Here is a 17,039-nt window from a genome sequence, read left to right on the forward strand (position 1 = left end):
TAGCTTTACTTGGAATTCCTTTCTCATTCTTGAATCAAATAAGCCCATAGTTATATTAGGATAAGTTAAAGAAAAGTTAGAGCATGGGATTAGCATGAAGGCCCAAGTTATATACTGCTTAAGCTATTCTACTTTTAAATTTATTTGTAGGCTCTCAGAAGAATGCCAAACAATTTAAAAGACCACTCGTTATTCAAAAAGAATTGATTATACAATTTTACAAATATTAGTTCTATTTTTCAGTGTTTGAATATACTTCTATACTTCTACATATTTTTCCAAATGTCAGCCAAATATCCAAAGCCTCCTTTATCCTTATCATGAGTCATATTATTTCTCTTCAATTTTTTTTTTTTTTTTTTTTTTTTTTTTTTGAGACGGAGTCTCGCTCTGTCGCCCAGGCTGGAGTGCAGTGGCGTGATCTCGGCTCACTGCAAGCTCCGCCTCCCGGGTTCACGCCATTCTCCTGCCTCAGCCTCCCAAGTAGCTGGGACTACAGGCGCCCGCCACTACGCCCGGCTAATTTTTTGTATTTTTAGTAGAGACGGGGTTTCACCGTTTTAGCCGGGATGGTCTCAATCTCCTGACCTCGTGATCCGCCCGCCTCGGCCTCCCAAAGTGCTGGGATTACAGGCGTGAGCCACCGCGCCCAGCCTTCTCTTCAATTTTTAACACTGCAAGTGAAATGAAGTGAAGTGAGGAAAGTAAACAAACAAAAAACAAAAAGGAAACAGCCTGGCATTCTACAGGTTACAGCTCATAGAAAGGAAGAGGTTAGTCTGAACAGCACCAAATGTAGTGAGACACACTCGGTGATTCATAGTCCATCTAAGAAGCCCAAATTCCCAAATTTACCTTCTAGAGAATACTAGAATGCACAACTTTTTCTCATGCCCTCCTCTCTTGCTAGGCTATCTGCCTTAAGAAACAAGAGGCAAAGGTTCCCATCTGCTGGTGTAAGTCAGTCACCTTTATTGTCATCAATATTAATAAAGGCTTAATCCTGCAGGGCCTATGCAACAGGAATTGCAGAAGGCTTCCTGATCACAGGTATTCACAGTCGAAAATAAACACAGGGACATGGACACAGCTCAGGATGTGCAAAACTATCTTAATACACAGTGGCATTACTGTAATTATTTATGCAGAAGTAAATGCTTTTCTGGAACTGAAAATAGGGGCAAATGGTAGCCAGCCACCAGGAAAAGAAACTTGGAGAGTGTAGTTTCCTGACAGTGAATGCTGGTAAGATGGAACTGTTTTCCTGTCAAACCAGAAAAATTTCATGGGGAATGTGTGGGCTTCAGGAACAGGGACAATGTGAAAAGTAGAAAGCAAGGCCAAGCTGAGGGGTGCTGACGGGATGAGGCACACTGAACCCCTGTCAGCATTTTGGAAAATAATGGAAGGTAGAAATGGAAAGAGTAAAGCACGAAAGATCATTGAGAAGAACAAAACATAAAAAGGCAACAGGGAGTGGGATGATCTATCTTTACCAAATACAGTGGAAAACTGGAACTTTATGAGAAATCAGGAAACTTCCACAGAGCTCCAGAGACAAAATAACTCCATGAGAGTTAGATGGCAGACTCATCTCCAGGAGTTGGTGCTTCATCTTGACTATTCTCTGGAGCCCCTGAGATTCGAGGAGCTCCTCATATTTCAGTATGGGGTCTGCATCTCCCCAGACAGGGCAGTTTAGCAGCAGGAAGAGCCCATAGAACAAACAGCAACTAGAGGACGCTGGATTGCAACAATTCAAATGAGAGATACTCCAACCTAGAAAACGGCGATGGTGTTGGAAAGAAGGAGAAGAAGTGGTGGAGATGGAGCTTGGTATAGTGAAAGTACAATATGGCAACTGTGTGACTGTATAGAAAACAAAACAAAAACAGTGGAGTCCAAAGTCAGCCTCTTAACTGAAAGTGGAAGGCAGAAGACACTCTTACTTCCAGGGAGAGATAGTTGATGTGTAGGGGGTGAAGGAGCCTCCGGAGAGTCAAGAACCAACTGGGCAAGCAGTTTAGTTTGTCTAAACTTACACATTTGAGCGTAGCCAATGGAACTGAACAGTTATCACTCTTCCTCATCTTTTCCACATTTAAGATAACACAGAAACGTAAGGTTTTCCTCTTTAGGTGGTAACTATAGTCTCCCAGGGTCCTATTCTCAGAGCTCAGGGCCACTGGACATTCCTACACGTAGTAGGGGAAGGGAAAGGACCTTCTAATTAAGAGATCATGGCCTCTAGATAGGAGAGACAAGACAAATTTGAGAATACAACAGATGAAAAGAATTTGATCTTAGGAAGTACGTGCAAATGTGTCGAGTTCCAATAAGTAAAATTAATATGTGTGTTGGTTCATGGAGTATTCCAGGAGAAAATTGACACTTGTTTTGAGAACATATTTTGAGGAAGTCAAGAAAACTCAGAATATCAGAACTCTCAGCATTTAGTTAAAATATCTATGTGTAGCTCACTGTGGGTAGAAGGAGAAGTAGGCTATCTCCATTTCTAAGCTGATTCACCAGCATTTAAAAGGCATGGACTTGTTAGAAAACTTGATCCTAATTTCAGCTTTCAACAACCCCTCTCCTAAAAACAACAACAAAAAAATGGGTATGGAAGGCAGAGGGAAACCTTACCAAAAATGTTTATAAAACCCCTGACTTTTAATAAAAAGCACAGCAACTGAGCTACCATTTCCCCAAAGCAAAATAAACCATAGCACACAAATCCTTTCTGTTATTTGCTGACAGCAGGCCACTCCTGAAAATGCTCAGCATGTTATTATTGTAAAAATCTACCGCAGGGTAACCCGTGCATGGAACTTTCAGCCAGTGTTAATAAATTGTCTACTGAGCTGCATTTTAAGGTTGTCAATAACCTGCCTTGTTTTTTTCTCTTTCTCCTATAGTAGTCCATGAAACAAGCCACACCAGGATCTGCTGGCGTGTCACCCTCTGAAATTGCAGCCTCCCCATTGAGAGAGGTCAGAGGGAAATAGAAATTACTAGGCTAACTCTGTCTCTTTGTGTCTGGGTTTTCACTTAGGAATTCACCCTGGAAGAGACTGTTCAGAGACAAAGTGCTTGGAAGCCTGTAAGTATGGATCCTACACAATTGTGAGAAAGTGTTTTCCTCTGACCCTCTCCCTGCCCCCAGCCCAACTAACTCATGCCCCTGAGAGAAGCCCCTCTTATGAAGCTATACAAAAAACAATGAGGTTGGAAGTCAGTTACTTTGGTATCTGCTGGTTAAGGGTTTTAAAATTAATTGTGGATAAAATATCTACACAATGGGCCAGCAGTTGGTCCCCTTTCTCTAGTCCCCAACACACTGCAGACTTTTAGCAAAGAATGAGCTACAATGTTTTTCAAATGCTATTGGCTCTTGAGTGTCTCTACTGTGTTAAAGCATTGCAAGTCACAGATGTACCTCATGATGTGTTAATAATTAAGATTTTAATTTTGCCCATGACTGCTTATTCTCATTTTGTATTTAAAAGTCAATTAATGACCTAGCACTGTTTCTCTATAAATTATCCACTTTTTTTCACAAATCTAGTCTCTTATGAAAATAAAGACCTTTTATAATTCCATATGGACTAGATTCTCAGCACTATATCATGCAATAAAGTGTTCTTTCTATTATAAATTATAAAATGCATAAATTATGTTCCATTCTGGTTAGATCCATGCTAGTTGCTCACTGCAATCTCTGTTAACCTGAACCAATCAGGGCCTCTTCTGAACTATTTTCTTCTTGCTTCACTCTAAATGATCAGCCCTCTACTGGGCCATACTGCTATAAATTTTTATGGCAACAGGGAAACTGCACGTACATTAAGTCTACCATAATATTTAATTCAAGCCATTTAGGAAGAAAAATAACTTGTGAAGAACATCAGTTTGGCTCACCACAGGATTCAGCAAACATACTGATGAAGACAAATAATCACTTAATAAAAACCATTGAGCCCTGGGACTCTTAACTTTGAGAATGCATTGGACAGGCTCTAACATGTTCCCCGTGATCCCCAGCTCCTAGAATTCACACCTTGCGTAATCTCCTCCTATTGAATATGAATGGGACCTGTCACTGGCTTCTAACCAACAGAATATGTGAAAGATTTTGGAATGTCACTTCTGTCATTATGTTACATAGATTGTAATACCCTAATTTCAAGAGAACTTTCTCCCTTGTTGGCTTTGAGGAAGCAAGCAAAAAGGTGAGAAGGACCCAGTTGTCAAGGAATTGAGGGCAGCCTCTGGCTAACAGCCAGCAAGAAACTGAGGCCCTCAGTCTGACATCCCACAAGGAAATGAAGGCTGCCAACAACCACATGATCTTGGAGGCAGGTCTTTCTCTAGCTGAGCCCTGATGACATCACAGCTAGGGCCTCTATGTTGATTTCAGCCTTGTGAGAACCTGAAGCTGTGCCCAGATTAAAAAACTCATAGACACCATGAGCAAATAAACACCTGGTGCTTTAAATGCCTAAATCTGTGGTAATGTTATTATATAACAACTATTAACAGACCGTGGTACATGGGAGTGCAGTGCTACTGTAAGAGGTTGGAATGTGAAAGTGGCTTTGAGACCACGGAATGGCAGGAAGCAGAATAATTTTGAGGAGCACATTAAAGAAAATCTAAATCACCTTGAACCATCCATTAGTAGAAATCTGGACTTAAAGGACATGGCCAGTAAGGGTTTAGAGGAAAATGGGATAAAGAACTAAAACTGAACATCAAAACAGATGGTCTTCCCACCACACACACAAAAAAGAAAAATTTGTGACGTGATGCATGTGCCAATTGGTTCAATTTAGCCATCCACAATGTATGCATATTTTAAACAACATTTTGTACATGATAAATATTTACAAATTTCATCAAAAATAAATTAGTTATTGAAAAAGACAAAAACACAATTAGAAAAACAGGCAAAATATTTGAATAGACATTTCTATAAATAAGATACACTAATGTCCACTAAGCACATGAGAAGATGCTCAACAATATTAGTCACTAAGGAAATTCAAATCAAAACCACAATGAGATACCAGTTCATACCTACTAGGATGGATAAAATTAAGGAAAAACAAAAGTAAATAAGAAGAATGCAGAGAAATTGGAACTCTCATGCGTTGCTGTTGGGAAAGAACATTGGTGAAGTCTCTTTAGAAAGCAGCATGGTGTTTCCTCAAAAAGATAAACATAGAATTAACATCCAATGCAGCAATTTCACTCCTAGATATACAGTATACACAAAAAAGTTAAAACAGGGACTTAAATGGATACTCATATGCCAATATTCAGTACAGCATTGACAATAGTCAAAATATTGAAAATATACCAAGTGTCCACTGATGAAAATAATGGATAAACAAAATGTGGTATAGCCATACAACTGAATCTTATTCAGCCTTACAAAAGGAATGAAGTTCTGACACATGCTACAACATGGAAGAACCTTGAACATTATGCTAAGTGAAACAAGCCAGACACAAAATGGCAACTACTGTAGGATTCCACTTATGTGACATATCTATAATAGGCAAATTAGTAGAGACAGAACATAAATTAGAGGTTATCAGGGGTTGGGAGGAGGGTGGAATAAGGAATAGTTATTATTGCTTAACAATTACAGAGTTTATGTTTGGGGCAATGAAAAGTTTTGGAAATAGTAGTTACGGTTATACAATAATGTGAATGTCAATAATGTCACTGAATTACACACTTATAAATGATTAAGTGGCAAATTTATGTTTTTTTTGTGTGTGTGTGTGTAAAAGCACAGTAAAAACTTAAAAAGTAAACAGGAATATATTATCAGGAACTGGAAAAAGGGAGAACTGCATTACACAATGGGTGAAAACTGCCAAAACTGCTACCTTTGTTAATATGAAAGGCAAAACACATAAGTTGAATTACATAGCTAAGGAAATTTCCAAACAAAGTGTTGAAGGTGCTGCTTGGTCTCTTCATGCTGCTTACAGTGAAATGTAGGTGAAGAAAGACTGAGGAATGGATTATTAAACTAAAAGAACAGGAACTGGATGATTTTGGAAATCAGTCACTTTTAATGGCAAAAGATGCAAAAAATATGAAATAGCTTTCACAGTCCTTTCAAGTACTGTTAGGGAAGGTTGGAATACAGTAAAAGCTGATGTAGTGACTGTAAAACCTTTTATTGTAACCTCAGAAAGATGAAAGAATTGGAGTAGTATTTAGTTACACAAAGAGTCCTTTCTAGAGCAAGTGTGTGCCTCACAGATCCTCTCAACTGCATCAGATCACCTCTAGTGAGCTGGAGGGTGTTGTCTCTCAGCCATCTCAGCAGCACCCCAAGGTAGAGAAGAGCTAACTCAAAAAGGTCTGTGAATGTAGCTTTTGTTTAGTGGAGTAACCTTGTAGAAATCCATTGAAGGCCCATAATGTTTTTAAGAAACTTATTTCCACAATGATACCAGCAGCTTGGATGGAAAGGGACAGAGAAAATACACATGAAAGGCTGCTGGAAACCCTGCACATTCTACTGACAGGAAGGAAGCTGATAAAACTACCTAGCTACAAGCACGTGCTCTCTTCAAGAAAAAGAAAGCCTGACTCAGGAAGCATAACTAAGAGTCCAGAAGGCAGAGCCAAGAACCATAAAACATTATGCCCACTCCCTGAACTTAATTAAGCAACTCCAAACACTTGCTCAGCTAGATTTCAGAATTTATATGGAACAGTGATTCCTTCATAATTTCCATCACTCCACCCACCTACTGCCTTTTTGAACAGAAATGTCTAAAGCTGTTATCCTTTGCCTGACTCTCCAAGTTTGTTAGTGGCAGATAACTTCTCCCTTTGGCTTTAGAGATTAACAGACTGATGGGAACTACACCCAGACAGCCTCTTCCACATGTGGGCCTGATGTAAATAATAAGGTTCTGGACTTTGGGGAGATGGCTTAATGGGATAAGACTGAGGGACCTTGAAAGTGGGTGAAATGCATTCAGCATGTGAGGGGTAGGGATGTGAATGACTGGGGAACAGAGAATCAACTCTGGCAGATAGACTCTATGGTGGCCCTAGTGAGCTCTGCCTCCTGATATTCATACCCTGTGTCATCACCTCCTCTAGGTTGTGGAGGCCTGTGTCTTACTTCCAAACAACAGAATATGGCAAAGGGGTGAGATGTCACTTTTGTGATTATGTTACATAAGTTTGTAATGCCCATCTTGCAAGGAGACTGTCTTTCCTGCTGGATTTTAAAAGGCAAGTGACAACACCAGGAAGGATCGCTTGGCAAGAAACTGAGAGTGGTCTCTAAATAACAACTATGTAAGGAATTGAGGTCTGCAGTTTGACAGCCCACAAAGAACTGAATACAAACAACTACCACATGATCTTGGAAGTGCATCCTTCCCCAGTGGAGCCTCAGATGAGACCACAGTTCTGGCCCATGTTTTGATTGAAGCCTGCTGAGGCCCCAAGCAGAGGATCTAGCTAAGCCATATAGGAATTCCTGACCCACTGGGACTATGAAATTTCAAAAAGAAACGTGTGTTGTTTTGAGCCACAAAGTTTATGGAACTACCACTACACAGCAGGAGGAAACTAGCACAGATAATAACATTTGCATCTTGATAATATTTGCAGACGTCCATTTCTTCCTTTTGTTAGTAGCCTCTCTGGGAGTTGGTGCTTCTACTCAGTTCCTGCTACTCCAGAAAATCTTTTCAAGGAAATGTCAGAAGAGAAAAAGAAACTGTCTATACATTTTAAAGTACATGTAAAAATTAAGCTAGAGTTATTTTTCAGAAAAAAAAATTATGTAAATACTTCTGAGATTTTTGTTGCAACAAAGCTCCCATTGAATAATTCCACACACTGGAGATGTCCCAGATGAAAAATCACTAACTATAAACCTACCATTAACTTAGGGAATCTTTTGGGAAGATCAATTCATTATCTTGTGGCTACCCAGGATTTCTTGAGGGTTGATGGTGTTTAAATAAATATGATATACATGTATCAATTATTTTGTATGCCTAGTTCTTAGTCTTTTGTATTCTCCCATGGAGATCATAGTCTCCTTCAATCTTGAGCTTAGTCCTCAAACATCTGCATTGTTGGAATCAGAATGCTTTTATATTTCTTAGGTGAAGAGACCTTTCATATAACATGGCAGAGACATCTAAGAACCTATTGCTTATGAAGACCACAGAGGAAACTTTAGGTACTTGGTTTTTCTGGTTTTCATTAATCTCCCAGTAGCCCCCTAGAAAGACTATTCAATAGAAAAGCTTAAATTCTATAAAAATTTTACATAGTCCCTGTTCTTACTATCCATCTATTATTTAATTTCACGTTTTCCTCCATTGAGCAAATGCTAATCTACAAATGAACATTTCTTCTTTACAAAAGGAATATTTTACATATAAGTCCCTCAAACACACTTGTCATCTTTATTGAAGACACCGCTGTATCTTTTCCTGAAGACACCGCTGTATGAAAAATCCTATGTGGATGCAAACGTACGCATATGTTAGCCACAGTGTTAATCAGCCTCTTCCTTCCTGTGTGATCAGCCTGGGAATGGTGATAACACATGCTAAGTTTGTGGTGGTGCCTTGACTCTAGGGAAGCCTTTGTACAGATGGAAGTGACTTTGCCTGGATGGGCTATACAGGTTGAGCATCCCTTAGCTGAAATGTTCAGGACCATTAGTGTTTTGGATTTCACATTGTTTCAGATTTTGGAATATTGGTGTATATATAATGAGATATCTTGGGGATAGGACCCAAGTCTAAATACAAAATTCATTCATTCACACATCAAATATACCATATACACAAAGGCTGGATGTAGTTTTATATATTTTAAATAATTTTTTGCATAAAACAAAGTTTTGACTGCATTTTGACGGCAAAAGTCAAAAAACCGTGTGGAAATTTCCACTTGTGGCATCATGTCACTGCTAGAAAAGTTTTGGATTTTGAAGCATATTGGGTTTCAGATTTTCAGATTAGGAATGTTCAACCTGTCCTAGGTGACAATTCATAGCATTTAAAAACTTCCAACCAATTTAAAATTGTACAAGGCTTGGAAATAATAGGGAGACAATTCTTCCATAATAGGCTTTCCCACTTATCAACTGGTGTTAGAAAATGACAGGGCTTGCACAAGACTGTCTCAGGGACTGCTTAAAAAATGACACACCCTGCTTGGTAAAAATCATCTTCATTTCCTGTTAGTCAAAAGGAGTGAAATCTTAATTGGCAAGTGAGGAACACACTTGAAGAAAAAAAGGAATGATTCTCCTTAGTTGATTTTAGGTTGTAGTAAATACCTAATAGAGAGCTATCTAAACAGTAAGTCTGTTGGTTCTGTTCGTATAAATACTAAATGCATAGCAAATAACTATATACAGTATTTTTATTCGAGGTTCCAGTGAGCTCATGTCATCAAATATAAACCTGCTACATTTTAATTAAAATGCACTGAAAGTCATTCAATAAGTTTATATTAGTATAGCTGAATAAGAATCCTGAAAGCATTATGAAATTTACCTACTTGAATTCTTTCCCAATAGTGACAAATTAGAATAAACATTAATAGTATATTTAATGCATATTAAGACAGATTCAATGATCTTGCAAAACAGATTCAATGATTACGATTGCAGAGGTTGAGCCTGAAACCAAATGTCTAATTCTACACCAAGAAACAAATTGTTAAATCCAAGACTAAATCAAAATGTTGCCATGATGTGCTGAAAGCTCAAAATACACGTGGAAAAGAGCCCCCAATTTGGGTTGTGCTGCAGCTTCATTGAGGGTATTTCTGAATATGCCCTCCCATGCCTTCCAGAGGATTAACTGAGTTCTGAGGAAAACCCTACCGCACCTGCCCAGTAGTGTCTGCATCCGGGACCTTCTTAGGTCCTCCTTGGAACTGGAGCTTTGAGATCTGTCTGGTTAAATTCTCACAAGAGTAAGTCTCCTGCAGACGTACTTCCAGAGTCTCCAGGAGCCTAGCACAGCACAGAGGTTCCTGGGTACTCTAATCCCTTGGCAATTGCTCAGCGGAGCCAGCCCAGCTGTGTAGGCACCAGAGCAGCCCAGTGATGCTGTCGACGAGGCTTTGATCAAAATTAAAGGATGCCAGGAAAAGAAGAGGACGACTGGCTCAGCGGAAAGGGATGCCACACATAAGCTTAGGCAGATCCAAAACTAAAACCGCGGGGAACTCGACCTGGCCGGAATGAGAGTAAGCGTGAGGCTGGCGGTGCTGGCAGCAGGGTGGGCACGTACCTTTCCTCGCGGTTCTGTCCCACGCACACCCGGCCCCCGTGCCTGGGAGTGGGGTTGCTGCAGGAGCGCTGCCGCACCTGGAAGCCGATCCCACAGGTAGTGCTGCAGGGAGACCACGAGGTCCAGGGAGTCCAGCCTCCGTTCCTGAGGGAAGGGAAGCAATGCAATCATTAGGTCCCGCAGGCTCAGAGTCCAAGCCCTGTCTGCACCCACGGCCAAATGCCTGTGTTCCTCAGGAGGATCACGCTTGGGGCTGCTCAGGAGAGAAAACACCAGCCAGGGGACTGAATGGACTGCACCCTGTGAATCTCAATTCCTGTGTCTGCAGCCCCCAGGCATCTGGTTTATAGCCAAGATAGGAAATTTGAGAATAAAGTTTTAAGTGCACCATAAATAATGGACTATATTAGAAACTATCAAAAAACTTGAGTCATGAAAATATTAAACTAATAAAGAATAAGGTTATTTCACTGAAAAGCATTTAGAAATGAATCCCTACACCTCTACAGTTTAGGATTTTTTGGACTTGTATTATATCATTTATAATCTATGAGAAGTGCACCTTTGGACAAAATGCTCATCTAAAACTGCCGAAAATGCTATCTTTTAAAATCTATTAATATCAATGAAAATCAGTAACTTTCCTGATAGCATCAAATTGATAAAGAGTGTTGTACTGTTAGAATAACTATCAAAGCTTTAAAACGAAAATGTTGTATTGTTAGAATAATATTCAAAGCTTTAAAACAAACTTTATTAAAAATTTAAAAAGGATGTTTAAATTCAGATTATTGGCTATCTTTTCACAGATTGACAGAGACATAAAGAGTGCAAATAAGAAGTGCAAATTGCATATAACTAACCATGTGTATTTATGTTATTACACATACAGAGTAATGTAGATATATAAAAATATAAAATAAAAATAGGATGAACCAATTTAAAAAATTTTTTTAATTCTATTGACAGCTCTAGAAATGTTTTAGTATTGTATTTTTTCCTTAAAATGCTTGTATTCAGACTGGTTATAATTTAAGTGTCCCCCTTAACACGTTGCTCCTGCTATTAAAAAATACATAGGTTTTTTTTTAAAATTTTATGTGTTAAAATATATATTAAATCCAGATTCCAAACTTCCACATAGACGGTCTACTTCATGCAGAATTTTTTTACTTCTGCAATCACATATGCATTTCTTTGGATATTTGTCACCTTCATCCATAAGATTTACATTTCCTATGAAAAAATATTAGCTCACATTAATTCTCATTTTTACTTCGTGTATTTCCTTTTAAAACATGGAGGTCAACAACTATGCCACTGAAGGTCCTGCTATAAATAATATGTTGAATATATCATATTAAAAATAATTTCAAATAAAAATTTTTCTGAGAAAATTCTTAGAATATTTCATGTTTTCCTACTTTACTGAAACCTAATGATTTAATAAAATATGTAGTAATAGCTTTATGTATGATATTATAATAAACCTGCTCTATAATAATATAACCAAAATTATCACACAATAAGACAAATCTTCCCACATTTCTTATAAAGATAATCAGCTAGTATCTTATACCCTGCTACCTAAAATCTTAAAAATTATCCATGTTATTCACTGAATTATATTTAAAAATTTAAATAGCAGTTTTAATATAAATAAATTACATTTAATTTGCAAAGTTTCATTACATGTGCAAAAAGTTGTTAGATCATGAAGCAAATGGTGCTTTCAAATTTGTTTGGAAACTCTTCATTTTTTAAATCTTTTAGCAAATGTGGATTGATTTTTTTTTTTTTGAGACAGAGTCTCGCTCTGTCGCCAGGCTGGAGTGTAGTGGCTCTAACTCGGCTCACTGTAACCTCCGCCTGCTGGGTTCAAGAGATTCTCCTGCCTCAGCCTCCCGAGTAGCTGGGATTACAGGCATGTGCCACCATGCCCAGCGAATTTTGTATTTTTAGTAGAGACGGGTTTTCTCCATGTTGGTCAGGCTGGTTTTGAACTCCCGACCTCAGGTGATCTGCCCACCTCAGCCTCCCAAAGAGTTGAGATTACAGGCGTGAGCGACCATGCCAGGCCACAAATGTGGAATTTTATGACATATTCCATTTACAATATATGGAACATGTTTGTATATAGGGTAGTAACTAAATAAAAGTGTATATAAGTAATAGGAAAAGAATATCTGAGGAAAGAAGTGAATGCAGCTTTACACGTATATGTCTATTACCCAGACCTGAGTTTCCATACTTCTAAATGCTGCTTAGAGGCAGACACAGTGACCAAACAAGTCACATAAAGTAAACAGAGATCAGGAGGGGGTCACTTTCACGATTATTAGTACAAAGCAATCCACTTACGTTTTTAAAGCCTCATTAAAACTAGTTCACTTTCTAGATTTTTAATCTTAAAATAACTACTAGTTGCATTGCAGCTCTGCTTAGAAAATGACTTTCCAACTAGAGCAAGAACTGAAGACAGATCGATAAATAAGTTATAGCAATTCATTTGATAATCTTCTTTTTCCATGAAACAATATGAGCAAAGAGTATTAGCTACTTGTTGTAATCTTCAAACAACAGCAGTTTGATAGTTTTTGTAAGTTTTACCCAGGCATCTGTGGAAATCATTTCATTTAATAGAAAGCATACAGTACATAATGCAATGTTGATATGCCTGTGTCCCCTGTAATACAAAACAAAACAAAAAAAAACCCTAATCTCTGTGGCCCTGATTTGCTCCTTTCACCTTGGTGGTGAGAAAAATGTGAGCAGAGGGCAAAGTCGGCCTTTTGCTCCTGCACTTTACTTTCCTGGCCCACTTCCTCTTAGGTGCATGTGCCTGCATGACCTGGGCTCTCCTACAATTTGATCACCCAATCTGATTTCCACTGTTAGTGACTTCATAAACAATTGTCCCAGAGACTTTTTTTTTCATTCTAAGTGGGCTCATGGAAAGCAGATAATATGTTTAAAAAATACTGCAAATTAATGAACAAGTGACAAAGAAGCATAAAGACTGATCTCAGAAGTGTTCCTGATACTTGCTTTAAAATTTCTCTGTGATCATGGTGTTATAGGTGCAGGGGATGGAGAGCAAACAGAATATAGTTGTAAAAAAAATAAATAAATAAAACAAACACCACCACAGTAAGCGGAAGCAACAGGAAAGCTATTCAATAGGTTATCTTATTTAAACTGCTCTCTTGATTACCCAGTGCCTAACGTTAGCTCAGGTGAGGTGCTCTGAGCTCCAATATCCTATGGAGTAGAGCAAGTCGATCAAGGACTTGGCTTCTTCTACCTCCTAACCTAGTGTTATTATATCCTACCCCTAATGGACTATTTGTAGATATATTCCATGAAAAGACTATTAAATAACATGGATGTTTTCCTTAAACAAAGCCAATCATATTGTCCAAATTGTAAATACTTTTCCTAATCTAATGAAGAGTATGTGAATAAGCGTAGATCTGTAATCCAATTTATAGTTTAAAATCTCCTTGCAAAAATCATGTAAGTTTTAAATGGTGAATGTCCCTGGTGTTTCACCACAGTTCTCTCCAAAAGGGAGTTATATTATAAATGATGTCCCAAACTCCTCGAGAATCTGAGTTTAATACACAGCAGCACAACTGGCGTGTTCTGAGCGGCACACCTGGAACAGTTGGCGATCTCCATGCCAGGGCCCTCGCACTGCCAGCCACCACACTGCGGGGCCGGGCTGTCGCAGGAGCGGGTTCGACAGAGGCAGGATCCCACGGCGCTGCCATCTGTGTGCGTGCAAGGCGTCCACGGAGACCACACACCAAAGTGCCCATCCACGGTGAGATTCCTGGTCTAGGAAGCAAAACCAAGCAGAGGTGTCAGAAAAGGTTAAAGCTGAACACATAATGGAGTAAAAATTAAAAATCCCTCATAAGACAATCAAAACTCCTCTAGAATTTGTTGTTGTTGTTGCTGCAGTTAGAAAAAGGGCCAGGCGCGGTGGTTCACGCCTGCATCCCAGCACTTCAGGAGGCCGAGACGGGCAGATCACGAGGTCAGAAGATCGAGACCATCCTGGCTAACACGGTGAAACCCCGTCTCCACTAAAAATACAAAAAATTAGCCTGGCATGGTGGCGGGTGCCTGTAGTCCCAGCTACTCAGGAGGCTGAGGCAGGAGAATGGTGTGGTGTGAACCCGGGAGGTGGAGCTTGCAGTGAGCCGAGATCGCACCACTGCACTCCAGCCTGAGGGAAGGAGCGAGACTCCGCCTCAAAAAAAAAAAAAAAAAAAAAAAAAAAAAAAAAAAAGATTGCATAAGGGAGTATTTCAACGTAAAGCAGCAGAGGTGATTGCTGGAGATGGTGAGGAAGAAGCAGGGAGGGAGACAGGGGGAAAGGGGAGACAGAAAATAAGAAGAGGAAGATGAAGAAGAAGAAGGAAAAGGAGGAGGGGGAGGAGGAGGAAAGGAAGGAGAAGAAAAAGGAGAAGGAGAAGAATGATGGGAGGAGGGCTGAGAAGAGAGGAGGAGGAAGAGTGAAGGATACTAGTGACTTGGCATCAAGTTATGGACAAATTGTCCACTAATTTGGAAAATCCAAAACTAAGAGGAACTGGAGTGAAAAATCACAGCTGCACAACCCCATTGCATGTTTATGTGCCTTTAAAAAATGAAAGCTTAGTAACATTTATCATTAAAGACTTGGTTTGGCTCTCAAACTGAAAGCATTCAATTCAGAACATATTTAAAGAGTATCTATTAAGCAGCTGCAGCGCTTCTCTTTGTTAAGAATATCCCAGTCAAACCTGTTTTCTGATCAACTTCTAAGAGCTTACGGGCCAGTGAGAAACAGCTAGACACATAACTATTACTCCATGTAGAATCCGACGATGGATTCACGAACAGGGGCTATCGGAGCAGAGGAGAGAACACCCAACATGCTCACAAGGTCTGGGAAGAGCAACGAGGAGCCTGTGTTGAGTCTTAAAAAGTGAAGAAAGAGCCAAGTAGAGGGGCTAGCAAGGGCTGGCAAGGATGAAGGCAGAGGAATGAGGCTGCCAAATGCAAAGGGCACATGGGCATTCCCCATCAGTGTGGGGTGAGCTGGTGGTTCAGGGGAGCAACACCAAGGACTGAGGAGGAACCCAGGGCAGGGACCTTATGGGGAGGGGTCAGGGAGCCCCCTGAGCTTGCTGGTGTGGCACCTCTGAAGGCACTCAAGGGGAGGGCATGGCATCGCTGGGACATGCATGACCAGCTCTGGTGTGGCGGAGGCACCAGCATGTACCTGGCTCATTGAAGAAGGGACGGCTTCTTGCCAAATCTGATAAGCAAATCTGCTCAGGAGGTGGCAGTGCTGCTGGAAGGAGAGACTCATGGGGCACAGCCTTACATCACATGCCCAGAAACCAGCAAACAGAGCTCTCCTCAGAAAGGCAATGGGAAGAAGGCCTAAGTCTAAGCCTCCTGTTTTGGTTGTTGTTGTTTTTGAGATGGAGTCTCGCTCTGTTGCCCAGGCTGGAGTGCAGTGGTGTGATCTTGGCTCACTGCAACCTCCACCTCCCAGGTTCAAACGATTCTCATGCCTCAGCCTCCTGAGTAGCTGGGACTACAGGCACCTGTGACCACACCAGCTAATTTTTATATTTTTAGTAGAGACAGGGTTTCACCATGTTGGCCAGGCTGGTCTCGAACTACTGACCTCAAATGATCAGCTCTCCTTGGCCTCTCAAAGTGCTGGGATTACAGGCATGAGCCACCATGCACGGCCTCCAAACCTCCTAATATTAATATGGAAACTTCAGCATCCTTGAGAAAATCTGAGCAAGGAAGACCTTTGGTGATGAGTGAACCGCATGCTTTCACCTTGCCCTCTGCAGCTGGCTGCACCCCTCCTCCTCTGCCAGAGTTCTCTTCCAGAACCATCCACTACCATCGGAAAGACTCATCATCCTCACATGAAACAACTCACAGGAAACAACTCTATGTACCATACAGTTCATTCTCTTCGGGTTACAAACTATACCCATACTTCGCCATTTCAGAATAATGCTGACACCATATTTTGTGGGTAAAAATATAGGCAAACTTTACTTTTGATACATCATTGACCCAAATACAATAGGAACTAACATGAAAAGTGTTCGTTGTTTTTGACATGACCGGTTGGCCAAATCCAATTGCTATAATTATGACTATCCCTCCTTTCTAACCAACCCTCTAACATTTTCTATCCAGTAAGGTGGATGGGATTGGGAATTTCCTTCCATACCTGGCTATCTATGTAAGAAACTGTGGCAAAACGGACGGAATGGAGCTGCACCATCTGTTAGAGCAATTCTTTTCTTTTTGTAAATTTTACTTTAAGTTCTGGGACATATGTGCAAAATAATCAAGTTTGTTACATAGGTATACATGTGCCATGGTGGTTTGCTGCATCTATCAACCCATTACCTAGGTTTTAAACTCCACATGCATTAGGTATTTGTCCTAATGCTCTCCCTCCCCCTCACAACCCACCCTCCAACAGGTCCCAATGTGTGATGTTGCCCTCCCTGTGCCCATGTGTTCTCATTGTTCAACTCCCATTTATGAGTGAGAACATGCAGCACTTGGTTTTCTGTTAGAGCAATTCTAAGTGATACACTGGATCCTACCCAAGAGGAAAATATCCCCATTTCCAAGGTCTCGGTGGCCTCCCTATTGGCTAAGATGAAAAGACAGTGCCTACTCTGATCA

At 40.1% G+C, this 17,039-nt stretch overlaps 1 protein-coding gene across 11 annotated transcripts in view, besides 1 other annotated feature; it reads right to left on the reverse strand.

Moving 5' to 3' along the window:
- SEMA5A (semaphorin 5A) overlaps nucleotides 1–17,039 on the reverse strand; it is a 511,043-nt gene that overhangs the window by 73,652 nt on the left and 420,352 nt on the right. For all 11 annotated transcript variants that reach the window (XM_011514158.3, NM_003966.3, XM_011514157.3 and 8 more), the window contains 2 exons: nucleotides 13,972–14,153; nucleotides 10,314–10,457 (listed from right to left, as the gene is read on the reverse strand). In XM_011514158.3, coding sequence (XP_011512460.1) covers nucleotides 10,314–10,457; nucleotides 13,972–14,153 — 326 coding nt within the window. The remainder of the gene's footprint in view (nucleotides 1–10,313; nucleotides 10,458–13,971; nucleotides 14,154–17,039) is intronic.
- Nucleotides 13,504–14,045: an enhancer, noted in NCBI's record as "H3K4me1 hESC enhancer chr5:9122300-9122841 (GRCh37/hg19 assembly coordinates)". NCBI's record gives its function as "activates a minimal SCP1, AML or CMV promoter by ChIP-STARR-seq in naive H9 embryonic stem cells {active_cell/tissue: H9 hESC(naive)}" and the evidence as "EXISTENCE:reporter gene assay evidence [ECO:0000049][PMID:30033119]".

Source organism: Homo sapiens, chromosome 5 (assembly GCF_000001405.40).
Source record: "Homo sapiens chromosome 5, GRCh38.p14 Primary Assembly".
NCBI lineage: Eukaryota > Metazoa > Chordata > Mammalia > Primates > Hominidae > Homo > Homo sapiens.